The sequence below is a fragment of the Homo sapiens genome, chromosome 12 (assembly GCF_000001405.40).
Source record: "Homo sapiens chromosome 12, GRCh38.p14 Primary Assembly".
NCBI classification, from domain to species: domain Eukaryota; kingdom Metazoa; phylum Chordata; class Mammalia; order Primates; family Hominidae; genus Homo; species Homo sapiens.
The window spans coordinates 113,178,753-113,195,246 of record NC_000012.12 but is presented as its reverse complement, the minus strand read 5'-3'; the positions used below and the strand labels follow the sequence as shown (position 1 = coordinate 113,195,246).

Here is a 16,494-nt window from a genome sequence, read left to right as displayed (position 1 = left end):
TCACCAGGGCAGCGGGGTGTGGGTCACAGCTGCCCATAGGGGGCAAAGAAGCAGGCAGGGAACTCCAGGAGGAGCGGGGCCTCAGGTTTCAGGCTGCCCCTAACCCTGTTCTGGGATTAATTTGCTTGCAACTTCCCCTGCTCTAGCACTGTGAAAGCTCAGAGGGAGTCCTGAGGTCACAGCAGCCCTCAGCCTCACATTCCAGGGAGCTGAACAATTATTTAAAACAACTTTTTTTTTTTAAAGTAAAAAATTTTTAGGCCAGGAGTGGTTACTCACACCTCTAATCGCAGCACTTTGGGAGGCTGAGGCAGGCAGATCACTTGAGCTCAGGAGTTTGAGACCAGCTTGGGAAACATGGCAAAACCCCATGTTTTATTTTTTGTCTCTACAAAAAATTAAAAAATTAGCCAGGCATGGTGGCACACGGCAGTAGTCCCAGCTACTTGGGAGGCTGAGGTAGGAGGATCACTGGAGTCTGGGAGGGTCGAGATTGCAGCGAGCTGAGATTGTGCCACTGCACTCCAGCCTGAGTGACACAGGAAGACCCTGTCTCAAAAAAAAAAAAAAAAAAAAAAAAGGGTAGGTAGAGACAGGGTCTCACTATGTTGCCCAGGCTGGTCTTGAACTCCTGGCCTCAAGCGATCCTCCTGCCTGGGCCCCCCAAAGTGCTGGGATTACGGGCATGAGCCATCACCCCCGGCCTGAACAATTATCTTTAAATTATTTGTCAGCATTTAAAAAACTGAGGGCTACCATGTAGAAATCCAACACTCTCCCTTTTCTGGAAAAAAATCTAATCATCCAGATATCCCAGGTCTGCATATCTCCTAGGGCTCAGCAGCAGCAGCCCCCATTAGATGGTAAAGTAAGTCGCCCCCATCCTCACCACCCCCAACTGCCTTACATACACCACAGCCTGGTGTCCGTTGCCCTTTAGTGTCACCTTGGGCTACTGCCAGATTTTACTGTAGTTGGGAGGAGGAAAGAGGTTTGTTTTTTTTTTTTTTAGACAGAGTCTTGCTCTGTTGCTCAGGCTGCAGTGCACTGGTTGGATCTCAGCTTACTACTGCCTCTGCCTCCCAGTTTCAAGCGATTCTCCTGCCTCAGCCTCCCGAGTAGCTGGGATTACAGGCATGCGCCATCATGCCTGGCTAATTTTTGTATTTTTAGTAGAAACAGCGTTTTGCCATGTTTACCAGGCTAGTCTCAAGCTCCTAACCTCAAGTGATCCACCCACCTTGGCCTCCCAAAGTGCTGGGATTACAGGCATGAGTCACCATGCCCAGCCAGGAAAGAGAGGTTATTTCTGGCCTATGTCTGTGGAAACAAAGGGGAAGATGGGAAGGCAAAAGAGAGATGGATGTTTCAGGAAAAACTGAGGTGGGCGTGAGTAACTAATTGTTAGTGAAAGTTCCAGGAAGCTTAAACATTCTATATGTTTAAAATGCACATTGCAGCTGGGCGAGGTGGCTCACACCTGTAATCTCAGCACTTTGGGAGGCTGAAGCGGGAGGATCACTTCAGGCCAGGAGTTTGAGACCAGCCTGTACAACATAGTGAGACTCATGTCTCTTTTTTTTCCCTTTTTTTCTTGTTTCTTACTGGAAGGAATGAAATCCCTCTCTATAAATTTTTTTTTTTTTTTTTGAGACAGAGTCTCGCTCTGTTGCCCAGGCTGGAGTGCAGTGGCACGATCTCGGCTCACTGCAAGCTCCGCCTCCTGGGTTCACGCCATTCTCCTGCCTCAGCCTCCCATGTAGCTGGGACTACAGGCGCCTGCCACCGCGCCCGGCTAATTTTTTGTATTTTTAGTAGAGACAGGGTTTCACTGTGTTAGCCAGGATGGTCTCGATCTCCTGACCTCGTGATCCGCCCGCCTCGGCCTCCTAAAGTGCTGGGATTACAGGCATGAACCACCGCGCCCAGTCCAAAAAAATTTTTAAAAGAAGTTAGCCAGGCATGGTGGTGCATGCATGTAGTCCCCGCCACTCAGGAGGCTGAGGGGGAGGATGGCTTGAGCCGGGAGGTCAAGTCAGCAGTGAGCTATGATCGCACCACTGCACTCCAGGGTGGGCAAGGAAACGAGGCCCCGTGTCTTAAAAAACAAAACAAAACAAAAAAAAGAAACACCAAAAACAAACAAACATACAAACAAACAAACAAAAAACAAAGCATGTTTGCATGAGAGCACAGCTGGCCTGCCTGACCCCACAGGTGTTTCTGTGTGTCACTGGTCCTGGGCACTGCAGGTCTCCCTCCCCAGCAGTGTCCACTCTTCCCTGCCCCAAGGCAGACGTACCAACCAGATGATGTGGCTTCCAACTGGACTCCCTAAAATCCTGGTGCCTCCTGGAGGTGCCTTACAGGAAGACGGGGGCAAGGAGAGGCCCAGAGCCCAGCCCACACTGCCCAATCTGGGTGCAATTCCATCTGCGCAAAGGCTTTGTTGCTTTTCCTAAGTCCTGGGCTGCATCCTAAGTGCTCTGCAGACACACATGTCACTGTCTGGCTTTCTTGGACCCTCCACTTGGCAAAGTCCTAGCCATTGTGTTTTATTTCCCACCTTAACACACACACACACACACACACACACACACAAACAAACTTAAAAACAAAACTAAAAAAATACTATTGTCTGTACTCTGAGCTAAGGAAGAGCCGGCCAACCACAAGTTAGTGGCATTAGCCAGAAGCCGACGGGAGGAAGAGTCCAGCGCTTCCCGAAGCCCCAGATTCCCAAACTTCAGTTACCCACTCACCGCTGTCATGTTGCCTGCCACATCCTTGTACTATCTGTTGTATTTAACTTTGTTATTTAAATCAACTCAGGCCTAACAATGGCCTTTACCCTGAGGGGGAAAAAAAGTGACATTCATGGCTTTGATGAGCTGATCTATTTAGTACATGAAAATAAATTCAGAAGCATATTAAGATGAAACAGTGTTCACTCACAAATCTCCCAGTTGCCGTTGTGTTCCCCAGGCTTCACAGACAGCCTGGAAAAACTCCTCTAGGGCTTGCAGACTTAGCTGGAAACTAATCCTGAGCAGGAAGCTTGGCTTGAAGGGATAAGAGGGGACCCTCCAGGTTGGCAATCACGCCGTTTATTCGCACTTGGCAGCAAGACAATGGATGATGTGGGAGGTGCCAGGCCCCTGGGTTGGCACTAATTTGGAGTATGGTTGAGACAGGGCTGGAGAGAGGCATCTTAGAGGTGGCCCCCAAATCCGCAATCGGGAGAAAAAGGCAAGAATCGACTAGAGATTGTCAGGATAAAGGGAGGCACTGCCCACCCCTGCTATGTCTGTCTGCCCCCACAGGGGCTTCTTTAATACCTGGGGTTCCCTGGGTGATGAATGTCCTCCTACCCTGGCAAGGGGCCATACCTGTCGCCGTGGCCCCATAGGCAACCCTGATGAAAGAGTATCATTTCCAAGGGGGCTTTGGTTTCTGGGTGGCCCCACCTCGTCGTGGGGTAGATGGCACTGAAATGCTAACTGAGCGAGCCCTGGAAGTCACCAGGGGGCTCCGGAAGGTCACCCCTGACGTGGAAGGCCTGAGATCCTGAGGCCCATTTGTGTGGGGGGCACTGGTGGCTGGATGACCAGTGCTGGGGACATTCAGGTGGGTGAGGGAATGGGAAAGTCCCCGCTTCAGGGGGCGTGAAGAGTGTAACCCACCCATAGATAACTTCTGGGAGTCTGCCGCTGGCCCCGGCTCTGTCTTGGAGGGACCAGCTGGGTGAATGGCTCGCAGTGGTGCCTCCCTGGGGCGGGGCGAGTGGCTACCCCTGGGGGTAGGTGGTGGCGTCCACAAGAGAGCACGGAGCTTTGCGGCATCCCCCTTCGCCATCCGCGGGGCCCCGAAGCTGGCGCCTTCAGATCGGGAGCCAAACAGCGACTCATCACAGTAAGACGGGGTGTGGCTGATGGGTCTGGCAAATGGAAGATAAACGCCATGAGCTGGGGGATGAACAACCCCTCAAAACTTTAACAGCTCTCCCACCCACCCTGGGATGGCAGCAGCAGAGGAGGGTTGCCTGCAGATCCCAGGAGTCCTTGTCTCCCAGTCTGAAACCTACAGCGAGGCCACAGCCTCTTAAGCACCACTGCCCCCGGTCTCTGCTGATTTTCCCTGCGAAACATCCACTGCCCCTGCATCCTGACCCCATTCCCAGACATGTGCCCCAGGCCTGGACAATTTGCATATTCCATCCTCCTGGCCACATGGATTGGTTCACGAATGGCCAGATGACCCAAGCCTGTCCAATCAGAATCTGCCTTAGGACCTTGCAGAAACCACTAGGAAAGAGATGTCTTTCTGCCACCTGACTTTACTTCTTGCTAAGCTGATAGGATGTCAGCCCAAAGCAGCTTGTGGCTATCTCCTTCCTACTGAAGATTGAAGGGCATGCAGGGAAAAGCAGCACTAAGGTGGAGACAGACAGTTCCAGCCACAGTTTGAGCCCCTGTTACAGGAGCCCCACATGCCTTCTCCTGGGGAAGCCAGTTTGAATAAGTTTTCTGTCACTTGCAATTGAGAGTCACAATTAGTATAACCTTAGTCTTTATAGCCTCCACTTTTTCTTTTCTTTGTGAGACACGATCTCACTCTGTTGTTCAAGTGGAGTGTAGTGGCACAGTCACAGATCACAGCAGCCTCAAATTCCTGGGCCCAAGCAATCCTCTCACCTCAGCCTCCCTAATAGCTGGGACTACAGGCACAGTGCCACCAAGCCCAGCTAATTTTTTTGTTTTTGATTTTTAGTAGAGATCAGATTTATGTTGCTCAGGCTGGTCTTGAGTTCCTGAACTCAAGCAGCCCCCTGCCTTAACCTCTCAAAGTGTTAGGATTGCAGGAGTAAGCCACCGTGCCCATTTTCTTTTCTTTCTTTCTTTTTCTTTTTTTTTCTGAGACAGAGTCTCGCTCTGTCACCCAGGCTGGAGTGCAGTGGTGCAATCTCAGCTCACTGCAACCTCCGCCTCCTGGGTTCAAGCGATTCTCCTGCCTCAGCCTCCTGAGTAGGCGGGATTACAGGCATGTGCTACCATGCCCAGCTAATTTTTGTATTTTTAGTAGAGACGGGGGGGGTTTCACCATGTTGGCCAGGCTGGTCTTCAATTCCTGACCTCATGATCTACCCACCTCGGCCTCCCAAAGTGCTGGGATTACAGGCAAGAGTCACTGCGCCCGGCCTTTTTTTTTTTTTTTTTTAAGAGACAGGGTCTCACTCTGTCACCCAGGCTGGAGTGCAGTGACGCTCGCTGCAGCTGCGAACTCCTGAGCTCAAGTAATCCTCCCACTTCAGCCTCCAGAGTAGCTGGGACTACAGGTATGCACCACTATGCCCTGCTAATATTTTTATTTTTTGTAGAGACAGGGATCTCACTATGTTGCCCAGGCTGGTCTCAAACTCTGGAGCTCAAGCGATCCTCCCACCTCAGCCTCCCAAAGTGCTGGGACTACAGGCCTGAGTCAGCCTGTCTGGCCTTTTTTTTTTTTTTTTTTTTTATTCAACAGATATTCACGGCATACCTGCAAGATTCCACGCCCATAGTTTTTTTGGCCAGGACTGAAAGTGCTTCTATCCCCAAACTGCAAGTCTTTGAAAGGGCAAGCTTTTGCCACTTGGTTTAGCTGCTCAAACCACATTGGCTAATGCCTGTATATGTCTGGTGCCAAGGTTTTTGCTCAATAACTTCTCTACCTCTTATGCAACCCCTCACTTGACACCCTCTACCTGTTGGCATCCAGAAGAAAATTCCACCCTCCAGGTGAGCAAGGAGTTGTCACCTCCCTTTTCATGGACACCATACTTCCTAATGCAGCCTATCTTTACCTCAGTGTTTTCAGCCATGTTGTAGGTATCAGTGTTGCTAATCTCCACCTGACCCTGCCTTGTCTACAGAACTGGCAATAACTGATTCTTGTTTTTATAATAGGTATCATTCCCATTCTCATTTCATTTCTCTCATCTGAAATATGTCCCTGTGGTTCAGAATGAACCCTAACTTTAGCTGGCCAGTTCTTATGGACTGAATTGTGCCCACCCAAATTCATATGTTGAAGCCCTAACCCCAAATGTCTCTACACTTGGCCTTAATTATTTAGATTAATTAAAGGTAATTAAGGCTGGCCAGACATGGTGGCTCACATCTGTAATTCCAGCACTTTGGAAAGCAGAGGCGGGAGAACGACTTGAGCTCAGGAGTTTGAGACCAGCCTGGCCAACACAGTGAAACCCCGTCTCTACTAAAAATACAAAAATTAGCCAGGCATGGTGGCGTGCACCTGTAATGCCAGCTACTCGGGAGGCTGAGGCAGGAGAATTCCTTGAACCCGGAGGTGGAGGCTGCAGTGATCCGAGATGGTGCCACTGCACTCCAGCCTGGGCGACAGAGCCAGACTCCATCTCAAAAAAAAAAAAAAAAAAAAAAAAAAAAAAAAAAAAAAAAAGGTAACTAAGGCTAAATAACATTATAAGGGTAGGGGATCCTAATCCAATAGAACTGGTGTCCTTATGAGAGGAAGAGACATCAGGGGTGTGTGTGTATACAGAAAAGGCCCTTGCATGTAATTGAAGGATTAAAAAAAAATGAGAAAAGGCCCTATGATGACACTGTGAGAACGTGGCCAACTGCAAGCCAAGGAGAGAGGCCTCAGGAGAAACCAAACCTGCCAACACCTTGATCTTGGGCTTCCAGCCTCCAGACTGTGACAAAATAAATTTGTGTTGTGGCCAGGCGCGGTGGCTCATGCCTGTAATCCCAGCACTTCGGGAGGCCAAGGCAGGTGGATCACCTGGTCGGGAGTTCAAGATCAGCCTGACCAACATGGAGAAACCCCGTCTCTACTAAAAATACAAAATTAGCCAGGCATGGTGGCGTAATCCCAGCTACCAGGGAGGGTGAGGCAGGAGAATCGCTTGAACCTGGGAGGCAGAGGTTCAGGTTAGCTGAGATGGCTCCACTGCACTCCAGCCTGGGCAACAAGAGCAAAACTCCGTCTCAAAAAAAAAAAAAAAAAATTAAGTCAGGCATGGTGGCATGTGCCTGTAGTCCCAGCTACTCAGGAGACTGAGGCAGGAGAGTCGCTTGAACCCGGGAGGTGGAGGTTGTGGTGAGCCAAGATCGTGCCACTGCACTCCAGCCTGGGCAACAGAGCGAGACTCCATCTCAAAAAAAAAAAAAATTGTGTTGTTTAAGCCACCCAGTCTGTGGTATTTTGTCATGGTGGCCCTAGCCAACTACTGTGCTAATCTTCTGTGTCTTTGTCCAAACCACTGATAACAATAAACAGGACAGAGCCCTGTGGCTCACCACTAGACACCTCCCTCCAGGCTGATATTAATCTGAAACAGTCCAAATAATCTAATTCTAATCTAATTAATTAACAACAATAACAATTTGCATTAGTTCCTATTTTTCTAACTTGTTCATAAAAATGCAGCAAGAACCATTTTCAATTTTTTTTTTTTTTTTTTTTTGGAGACAGGGTCTCACTCTGTCACTCAGGCTGGAGTGCAGAGGCGTGATCTCAGCTCATTGCAATCTCTGCCTCCTAGGCTCAAGTGATCCTCCCACCTCAGCCTCCCGGGAGCTGGGAGTACAGGCGCACACCACCACACTTGGCTAATTTTTGCATTTTTTATAGAGACACAGTTTCACCACGCTGCCCAGGCTGGTCTCAAACTCCTGAGCTCAAGTGATCCCACCTCAACCTCCAAACGTTCTGGGATTACAGGCATGAGCTACCCCATGTGGCCAAAACCCATTTTCAAAATGACTTCAGAAACACCACATCTATGTCATTTCAAGGATCGAACACATTAATATTAATAAGCTTATGCAAATTTCTCTGTGATCTTATGCCTCAGCTGACTCCTCTGGGCCTCAGATGCCCAGTTTGTGACATTTGGGGATAGGGAGTTCACCATCACAACCATCAACACTACCATTTATTGACAGCTTTCTAAGTATTAGGTTACTGTGCGAAGCACTGCAGACCCCTCTCTCATTTAATCCATCAACAATCCCCCTAGGTAGGAATAATTGGTCCTATTTTCCACATGAGTAAACTGGCTCAGAGAGGTCAAGATGCTTGCCCAAGGTCACAGAGCAGGTGAACACCAGAGCTGTAACTGGAATCCAGGTGGCTGCACTGAGTACAGGATTTGCATCTCCCTACCCCATTACCTGTATTTGTTCTTCTTCCTTGGTGTGAGGGTGGGGGTGCTGCCCCTTGAGGGGGTGGTCTCACAGCTCCCCTTTGCCCCCAAGGCCTTCGATGCCTCCTTGCCCACGCCTCTGGTTCTGTTAGCCTTCTCCACCCAGGGCGGATCGAAGTCCGGTGGGGTAGGCCGGGTGCCTGCTGGGCTGCCAAACAGAGTCTCATCCACATATGACGTCCTGGCCTTGACCCGGTAGCCACCTCGGCAGCGGTGCTGAAGGCCGAGGGTCTGCATCCCACTGACGGCCAGCTCCACGGGGGTCTTCATGCTGCCTGTGGTCCCTGGTGACAGCAGGTGTGCTCTGCCGGCCAGGCCCTGCTTCCGAGGCTCCCTGTGAGAGGAGGTCAGAGTAGCACCCCTGAGCCACAGAAGTGCTAATGGAGGAAGACCGGTAGTGTCTGAAGTTCTCATCCCAAGGGTTTAGTTCTCTCTCAACCAGTCTCTCAAAGGGGAGCTGTCAACTTCAGGGGGCATTTTGGAAATTTCTTTGGCTTTTTTTTAGTTGTCATAATGGTGGTGAAAGGGGGGCTACTGGCAATTATTTACAGAATGACTCTGGCGGTGAAGGAGAGATGACACCTGTGTCTATTTAGGCACCAACCAGAAAACACACTATGGTGGTAGGGGAGACAGGCACTTTCCTATGTGTACTGATGGGGGTGGGGGCAATGACAGCCAGCGTGGATCCCATGCCTACCTCCTGCAAAGAGCTTTACAAGCATTGTTTCATTTAATCCTCTCAACAGCACTGTGAAGTAGCTTCGAATTTGTCCATTTTACGGATCACAAAACTGAGGTGAAGTCACATGTGTAGGTCACACCTATAAAGCTAAAACGGTGGAAGTGAAATCTGAGTCCAGAGCTTGTGTACTTGGCTACACTGCTATCGGGAGATCACCGCCGCCCCCACCGCCCCACATTCTGCGACTCCCAAATCAATGACCCGATTAAAAAGTGCCCGAGGTCCCTGCATTTTTGGGTTGTTCTCCTACCTGAGCATCTTGGCTCGTAGGCATCGGGATCCTCAGGGACCCGTCCCCGCACCTTCTTCCCACCAGGTCTGGACCCGTCGGTGAGGGCGCGGGGGCGCGCGGTGCATCCGGGATCCCCGTCAATCTGCAGCCCGGAATGCCTGGGGCCCCGGACCCCCGGCAGCCTAGGCCGTCCCGGGGCACCGCGCGCGGACGGACTCACCCGAGGAGCCGGCACAGGCTACGTGTGAACGGCCCGCGAATCCAGAAACCCAGAACCCAGCACTTTGCACCCAGCAACCAGGGAGCAGCCAGCAGCACTGCGGACGCGGCCCGGACCATTCGCGCCCGCGGATGGGGGGAGTCCGCCCAGGGGCGGGCGCCACGCTCCTGAGGCCCAGGAGGTCCCTAAACATGGAGAGGGTCCTCTGGTGCCACTCACTCAGGTGCGTGTGTACTAGGCCGCCGAGGGCCGCAGGCACTGGCGAAAGCTCAGCGGAGGTCACGTGGTCACCGCACCTCCCCCCCCCCCACGCAGTTGGTGCGCTCCTCAGGCCACGCCCCCTTCTGCGTTCCCAGCGCGCGGCCCGAATGGCGGCCGACAAGGGCCCGGCGGCTGGACCTCGGTCGCGAGCTGCCATGGCCCAGTGGAGGAAGAAGAAAGGGCTCCGGAAGCGCCGAGGCGCGGCCTCCCAGGCCCGCGGCAGCGACTCGGAGGACGGCGAGTTTGAGATCCAGGCGGAAGATGACGCCCGGGCCCGGAAGGTAGGCGCGTGGGGCTGGGACGCATGTTCGGGCCCGAGACCCGGCTCCGGGCAGCGCCTCGAGGCCTCAGTTTCCCCAGCTGGGGATTGGGCTCCGCAGAGTGTGGGGAGGGAGGCTGCCGACCCGAGGACCGGTCTTGGGACCGCCGGCCTGAGCACGTGTCTCGGGGCTTGTCAGGCTCAGGGTTCCGCGGCCAGAGCCTTGGGATCCCGGGGCTGGAGCCTGCGGGCCTTCCTGCCGGGTTTTGGTCGCGCGTCTCTCATTGGCTGCCTCCTGCTCGTGGGGCGGATCCTGGCTCCCTTTCGCCCAATGAAAAGTGCGGGTGCAGAAGATCTGACTTTGAGAGTTTGGAGCGTTCTTGGGAGGTTGAATTAAGGGGAGGCCAGACTGCGTGGCTTGAGACAGTGTGACGCCTCCAAACCTCTGGGAAACGAATTAAAACAATTTTTTTTGAGACAGAGTCTTGCTCTGTTGCTCATGCCGGAGTGCAGTTGTGTAGCCACGCCTTGCTACAGCCTCCGCCTCCTGGGCTCAAGCGATCCTCCCACGTCAGCCTCTCCGGTAGCTGAGACCACAGACATGCGCCACCACGCCCGGATAATTTTTAAATTTTTTGTAGAGACGGGGGTCTCCCTATGTTGCCCAGGATGGTCTCGAACTTCTGGCCTCAAGCAGTCCTCCCACTTCTGCTTCCCAAAGTGTTGGGATTAACAGGCGTGAGCCCGGCCAGTTTGTGTTTGTTGACCGTTTACTATGTGCCAGGCTCCATGCTAAGAGCTGTACGAGCCTTATTATTTAATCCTCACACCAACGTTGTGCTAACACCACCAGCAACTGTCATCTTCATTTTTCTACAGGAGGAAACTGAGGCCTAGAGGGTTAAGAAATAGTCAAAGGCCTGGTGTAGTGGCTACACGCCTGTAAACCCAGCACTTAGGGAGGCTGAGGTGGGAGGATTGCTTGAGGTCAGGAGTTCAAGATCAGCCTGGGCAACATAGGCAGACCCCGTCTCTACAAAAAATTAAAAAATTAGGATGGCCGCGGTGGCTCACGCCTGTAATCCCAGCACTTTAGGAGGCTGAGGCAGGCGGATCACCTGAGGTCGGGAGTTCAAGACCAGCCTGGCCAACATGGTGAAACCCTGTCTCTACTAAAAATACAAAAATAGCCAGGTGTGGTGGCATGTGCCTGTAATCCCAGCTACTCGGGAGGCTGAGGCAGGAGAATCGCTTGAAACTGGGAGTCAGAGGTTGCAGTGAGCCGATATTGCACCACTGCACTCCAGCCTGGGTGACAGAGCAAGACTCTGTCTCAAAAAATAAAAATTAGCCTGGCTTGGTGGCGCCCACCTGTGGTCCCACCTCCTGGAGAGGCAATGTGGGAGGATCACTTAAACCTGGGCGGCGGAGAGTACAGTGAGCTGTGGCTACACAACTGCACTCCATCATAAGCAACAGAGCAAGACTCTGTCTCCAAAAAAAGAAAAAAAAAAAAAAGGGAGATCCCATCTTTACAAAAAAAGAGAGAAAGCAGCTTGACCAAGACCTCACAGCTTGTGAGTACAAGAGCCAGGAGATTCAAACTTGAGACTGTCTGATTCCAAGGCCTGTGCCGTTTCCATTACTGAATGTCATGTGTATGCACATGAAGGGATGGGTGTGAGCACCAATGGGGCAGAAGGGCTGCGCCCATTATTTCCCACAGTCCTGTTCCCAGCGGGTGCCTGGCACCAGGTAGGCTCAGGGCAAGATGAGTAAGTGGACATTTATATGAAGAGAAAGGATCACACTCCAAGGCAGGAACTAGAAGAGACCTCATCCCACTGTCCCTCTCTCATCTTCCAGCCTAGCCAGTACCTGGCACACAGTAGGTGCTCAACAAATGTAGAGAAACTACTAAAGGTAATGAACAGCACAGGCGGGCAGAGGTGGTTATTACCAAAGAAGAGGAGTCTAAGTGTAGTTCAGACCAAGGGCTTCTCACGGCACTGCCCTGTGTTCAAATTTGGCCCAACCTTGCACTGGCTGTGGGACATTGGAGAGGTTGCTTAACCTCTCTGTGCCCGTTTCCACATCCGTAGAAGGCAAGTAAATGATTATATATGTTTCAAAGGTTGTTGGCCCGGTGCCGTGGCTCATGCCCGTAATCCCAGCACTTTGGGAGTCCGAGGAGTGAGGATCACTTGATGCCAGGAGTTCGAGACCAGCCTGGGCAACATGCATGGCGAGACTGCATCTACAAAAAATACAAAAATTAGCCAGGCATGGTGGTGTGTGCCTGTAGTCCCAGCTACTTGGGAGGCTGAGGTGGGAGGATCACCTGAGCTAGGTGAGCCGTGATTGCCCCACTGCACTCCAGCCTGGGAGACTGAGTGAAACTCTGTCTCAAAAAAAAAAAAAAAGTGTTGAAAAGACCAAAGGAGGCTGGGCGTGGTGGCTCATGCCTGTAATCCGAGCACTTTGGGAGGCCAAGGTGAGCGGATCACTTGAGGTCGGGAGTTTGAGACCGGCCTGGCCAACATGGTGAAACCCCATCTCTACTGAAAATACAAAAATTAGCCGGGCTGGTGGCATGTGCCTGTAGTCCCAGCTAGTTGGGAGGCTGAGGCAGGAGAATTGCTTGGACCCAGGAGGTGGAGGCTGCAGTGAGCCAAGATCCTGCCACTGCACTCCAGCCTGGGTGACTGAACGAGACTGTCTCAAAAAAAAAAAAAGAAGAAGACTGAAGGACATGCTGTTCATACATTCAGTAGCTATTGCAGGCGCCTGTGTGTCCCAGGCACCTTGTTTTCATGTACCTAGAGCAGGGGTTGGCAGACCTATCAAGGGCCAGATGGTAAATCTTTTTTTTAGGTTTTGTTGGGCCATATAAGATCACTGTCTTTTTTGTTGGATTTCTTTTTCTTTTCTACAACCCTTTAAAAAGTAAAAACCGTTCTAAACTCACAGACTGTTCAAGACAGGCCATGGCTCTGCCCTAGAGGATTGTAGTTAATCTTAGAGGGTCACAGTGAAAAGAACACAGTCTCTGAAGCCAGGGTTCACATCCCTCACCCACTACCTGCTGGCTGTGTGACCTTGGGCACGTCACTGTATCTCTGTGCCTCAGTTTTCTTCTCTGTAAAATGGACAGAACAATAGTACCCACTTCATCAGATTGTTGTGAGGATTAAGTGGGTTAATTTGTATAATTCTCAGAGCAGCACCTAGCTTATAGTAGATACCTTGTAAGTTTCAGCCACTCTTATGAATTGCTGCTCCGTAAATGCTTTTTTTTTTTTCTTTTTTGGTAAAGATGGGGTTTTACCATGTTGCCCAGGCTAGTCTGGGAACTCCTGGGCTCAAATGATCCACCCACCTCAGCCTCCCAGTGCTGGGATTACAGGCGTGAGCCACCACGCCTGGCCATGAATGCTATTTTTAAGAGAAAGGGGACAGCCCTGTAGTCCAAGAAGGTTCCCCAGAGGAGGTGTCTGGATTGGATTTAGCTGTGCCAGGACAAGTGGGTCCTGGGTGAGCAGAAAGGAGGCCAGGCATGAGACAGACCAGAGATCAGAAAGGAGATTGGTTGGCGGCTGATGGGGCGGGGGTAGGGGGCGGGAGATCTTGGAAAAGTCTAGTACTTCACATATAGTAGGCATTTCGATTGGCTCTTTAATGTATTTAGGGGCTGGGTGTGGTGGTTCATGCCTGTAATCCCAACACTTTGGGAGGCCAAGAAGGGAGGAATACTTGAGGCCAGGAATTCAAGACTAGCCTGGGCAATGCAGTAAGACCTCATCTCTACAAAAAAAAAAAAATAAATACAAAATAAAAAAATTAGCCAGATGTGGTAGTATACGCCTGTAGTCCCAGCTACTCAGAAGTCTAAGGTGGGAGACTCACTTGAGCCTAGGAGTTCAAGGCTGCAGTGAGCCATGCCTGCACTGCTGTACTCCAGCCTGGGTGACAGAGTAAGACCCTGTCTCTTAAAAAAAAAAAAAAAATGTACTTACTTTTGGGATTGAGATTCAAACCGAGACAGTCTATCTGCAGACCCCACTCTAAACTTCTGTCCTGGCCCAGCCAAAGGAGAACTTACTAGCAAAAAAGTGACGTGATCTGGCGGAAGCATCATTGGCTTGAATGGGGGAGAGAGGGCAACAGCACAGGCCCCTTCCCTGCCCCCTGTGGTCCCACTGTGCCTGGAGTGACACCACCTCTCTGTCCTTCCCTCCCAGCTGGGACCTGGAAGACCCCTGCCCACCTTCCCCACCTCGGAATGCACCTCGGATGTGGAGCCGGACACCCGGGAGATGGTGCGTGCCCAGAACAAGAAGAAGAAGAAGTCTGGAGGCTTCCAGTCCATGGGTGGGTGCAACTTGGCATCAGGGACTCTGCGGGAGTGGCAGCTGGAGGTCAACCCCGCCTCTGCACTCCATCACTGATGTCCACTCTGGGCCCAGCACTGTGGTTGGGTAGACCGGGGTAGCAGATGTGGTCCTCCAGTCATTCAGGGCCTTCTAGTGGGGCAGCGGGCCTGACACAGGAGAGGGCAGTTAGAACAGGCCTCAGGAAAGGCAATGCAGATGCAGGAACAGGCAAAGACAGTCGGGGACTTATTGCCTGCAGAGGGACATTTCAGAAGGAGGGAAAGGATGGAATGGGTGGGTGGTGTGGGGACACCTGGCTGGCCAGAAATAAAGCCTGACTCTGTTACTCTTTACAAATCAGTAGCAGCTGGAGCAAGGATTTAAATATCAAGATGAGTGCTGGGTGCGATGACTCATGCCTGTAATCTTAGCGTTTGGGGAGGCAGAGGTAGGATCACTTGAGGCCAGGAGTTCAAGTCCAGCTTGGGCAACAAAGTGAGCTCCCATCCATGCCCTCACCACCAAGAGGGACAAGAGTCCCTCCCCACACCCGGGTGATTCTGAAGTTCATTCCAGACATCCTCATTGTGTCCACACACACTTCCAAGAGGCGCAGGACCTTACCACGCCTAAAACGAAGGCACAGCTTCTTAGTGTCACCTAAGACCCCGTTAGTGTTCAGAGATCCCTGCTGTCTCATGACATCAAGAGTGGGTTCACATCAGAAAATCAGATAAGGTTCAGGTGCCCCAGTCAGATCTGTCTCCTAAGTCTCATTTCACCTTTCAGTTTGTGCTTTATTGCTTTTTTTTTTCCCTTGCTGTTTATTGTTGATGAAGCTGTCATTTGTCCTGTAAAGTTCTCTGGGGTTGGTGCTGTGGGGACTCCCTCGGCCCCCTGACCGTTTCATGTCTCTCCCAGGCCTGAGCTACCCGGTGTTCAAAGGCATCATGAAGAAGGGGTACAAGGTGCCAACACCCATCCAGAGGAAGGTGAGGGGTGGGGCGGTCGACGGGTGAGGGCGAGGGAGGAGTGACATGGCCCTCCTCTCTGGCCCCTTGACAGCCACCCCTTGTCCCACCTGTCACATCTCCTGCCCCCTTTACTCTGCTGAAGCCCCAGCTAGCGTGCCCACTTCCTAGGTGGAGAAGGTTGGGCCGAGCCGAGCAGAGACTCTGGGCCTTTCTGCCAGTTGAGCCTCCTGGAGGCTGCCCACAGCTGAACCTCAGCTCAGGCAGCTCCCAGCCACCTATATTATCACCCAGGGCTTGTGATTATTCTTCTTAGACATTTCGCCCAGTGGGAGCCATTTCTCTGGGGTTCTGAGGAGGAGGACTAGACGGGAGGTAGAGTCTGGCTCCTCCGAAGAAGGGTGTTCCAGCAATGGAAAGAGTTGGGGTAGTGAGCCGCTCATCCTTGGAGGCATGCTAACAGGCTTTTGAAAGAATGGGCAAGAATAGGCTCAGGGCTGGGTGACGGGTGCCTGCCCATTCACTGAGATCTATAGCATGCCCACTCCTCAGGGCCTTGAAGCTCTGGATCACATGGTGTTTGGGGAGGAGCTGACCTTGACTTCCCTGCTTGTGCCTCTCCAGACCATCCCGGTGATCTTGGATGGCAAGGACGTGGTGGCCATGGCCCGGACGGGCAGTGGCAAGACAGCCTGCTTCCTCCTCCCAATGTTCGAGCGGCTCAAGACCCACAGTGCCCAGACCGGGGCCCGCGCCCTCATCCTCTCGCCGACCCGAGAGCTGGCCCTGCAGACCCTGAAGTTCACTAAGGAGGTGTGTCTGAGCTTGGCTAGAGGCTGGAGGCAAGGGCTGACTTGGGACCGGACACAGAGGCCACGAGTGTGCTGTCATCTCACCCCTGCCCTCTCTCAATCACTTTCTCTTCTCAGCTAGGCAAGTTCACTGGCCTCAAGACTGCCCTGATCCTGGGTGGAGACAGGTAAGGTCCCTGCACCCCATGCCAGGGTCACCACCATGCAGGCACATCTCTGTGTCTCCAGGACATTAGTTCGATTTAAGCTGTGTTGCTTATTAATAATAGCAGCTTCTGTGCTCATTCAAAAAACCCAACAAGGCCGGGCCCAGTGGCTCATGCCTGTAATCCCAGCACTCTGGGAGGCCGAGGTGGGCAGATCCCCTGAGGTCAGGAGTTTGAGACCAGCC

The 16,494-nt window shown here is 52.1% G+C and overlaps 2 protein-coding genes across 4 annotated transcripts in view, besides 7 other annotated features; one reads left to right on the top strand and one right to left on the bottom strand.

Moving 5' to 3' along the window:
• Nucleotides 849-1,143: a silencer, noted in NCBI's record as "tiled region #6569; HepG2 Repressive DNase unmatched - State 5:Enh". NCBI's record gives its function as "represses a minimal TATA promoter and a strong SV40 promoter by Sharpr-MPRA in HepG2 cells {active_cell/tissue: HepG2}" and the evidence as "EXISTENCE:reporter gene assay evidence [ECO:0000049][PMID:27701403]".
• Nucleotides 2,879-9,526, bottom strand: RITA1 (RBPJ interacting and tubulin associated 1). Of its 2 annotated transcripts, NM_032848.3 has the most exons (4): nucleotides 9,226-9,526; nucleotides 8,931-9,062; nucleotides 8,199-8,564; nucleotides 2,879-3,937 (listed from the first exon to the last, which is right to left on the bottom strand). In NM_032848.3, exons 3-4 carry the CDS (start codon nucleotides 8,498-8,500, stop codon nucleotides 3,430-3,432), a joined length of 810 nt encoding a protein of 269 aa, NP_116237.1. In that variant the 5' UTR covers nucleotides 8,501-8,564; nucleotides 8,931-9,062; nucleotides 9,226-9,526; the 3' UTR covers nucleotides 2,879-3,429. The 2 variants fall into 2 exon arrangements, with proteins under 2 accessions (NP_116237.1, NP_001273144.1); NM_001286215.2 differs by lacking the exon at nucleotides 8,931-9,062.
• Nucleotides 3,102-3,755: an enhancer, noted in NCBI's record as "H3K4me1 hESC enhancer chr12:113629297-113629950 (GRCh37/hg19 assembly coordinates)". NCBI's record gives its function as "activates a minimal SCP1, AML or CMV promoter by ChIP-STARR-seq in naive H9 embryonic stem cells {active_cell/tissue: H9 hESC(naive)}" and the evidence as "EXISTENCE:reporter gene assay evidence [ECO:0000049][PMID:30033119]".
• Nucleotides 7,885-8,534: an enhancer, noted in NCBI's record as "H3K4me1 hESC enhancer chr12:113624518-113625167 (GRCh37/hg19 assembly coordinates)". NCBI's record gives its function as "activates a minimal SCP1, AML or CMV promoter by ChIP-STARR-seq in naive H9 embryonic stem cells {active_cell/tissue: H9 hESC(naive)}" and the evidence as "EXISTENCE:reporter gene assay evidence [ECO:0000049][PMID:30033119]".
• Nucleotides 8,535-9,185: an enhancer, noted in NCBI's record as "H3K27ac-H3K4me1 hESC enhancer chr12:113623867-113624517 (GRCh37/hg19 assembly coordinates)". NCBI's record gives its function as "activates a minimal SCP1, AML or CMV promoter by ChIP-STARR-seq in primed H9 embryonic stem cells {active_cell/tissue: H9 hESC(primed)}" and the evidence as "EXISTENCE:reporter gene assay evidence [ECO:0000049][PMID:30033119]".
• Nucleotides 9,186-9,835: an enhancer, noted in NCBI's record as "H3K27ac hESC enhancer chr12:113623217-113623866 (GRCh37/hg19 assembly coordinates)". NCBI's record gives its function as "activates a minimal SCP1, AML or CMV promoter by ChIP-STARR-seq in naive and primed H9 embryonic stem cells {active_cell/tissue: H9 hESC(naive and primed)}" and the evidence as "EXISTENCE:reporter gene assay evidence [ECO:0000049][PMID:30033119]".
• Nucleotides 9,243-9,382: a silencer, noted in NCBI's record as "silent region_4892". NCBI's record gives its function as "represses an Ori minimal core promoter by ATAC-STARR-seq in GM12878 lymphoblastoid cells {active_cell/tissue: GM12878}" and the evidence as "EXISTENCE:reporter gene assay evidence [ECO:0000049][PMID:35858748]".
• The window catches only part of DDX54 (DEAD-box helicase 54), a 28,306-nt gene continuing 21,580 nt past the window's right edge, over nucleotides 9,769-16,494 (top strand). For both annotated transcript variants that reach the window (NM_024072.4, NM_001111322.2), the window contains exons 1-5: nucleotides 9,769-9,969; nucleotides 14,189-14,318; nucleotides 15,242-15,312; nucleotides 15,916-16,104; nucleotides 16,221-16,270. In NM_024072.4, coding sequence (NP_076977.3) covers nucleotides 9,796-9,969; nucleotides 14,189-14,318; nucleotides 15,242-15,312; nucleotides 15,916-16,104; nucleotides 16,221-16,270 — 614 coding nt within the window. In that variant the 5' untranslated portion in view covers nucleotides 9,769-9,795. The remainder of the gene's footprint in view (nucleotides 9,970-14,188; nucleotides 14,319-15,241; nucleotides 15,313-15,915; nucleotides 16,105-16,220; nucleotides 16,271-16,494) is intronic.
• Nucleotides 9,873-9,952: an enhancer, noted in NCBI's record as "active region_7063". NCBI's record gives its function as "activates an Ori minimal core promoter by ATAC-STARR-seq in GM12878 lymphoblastoid cells {active_cell/tissue: GM12878}" and the evidence as "EXISTENCE:reporter gene assay evidence [ECO:0000049][PMID:35858748]".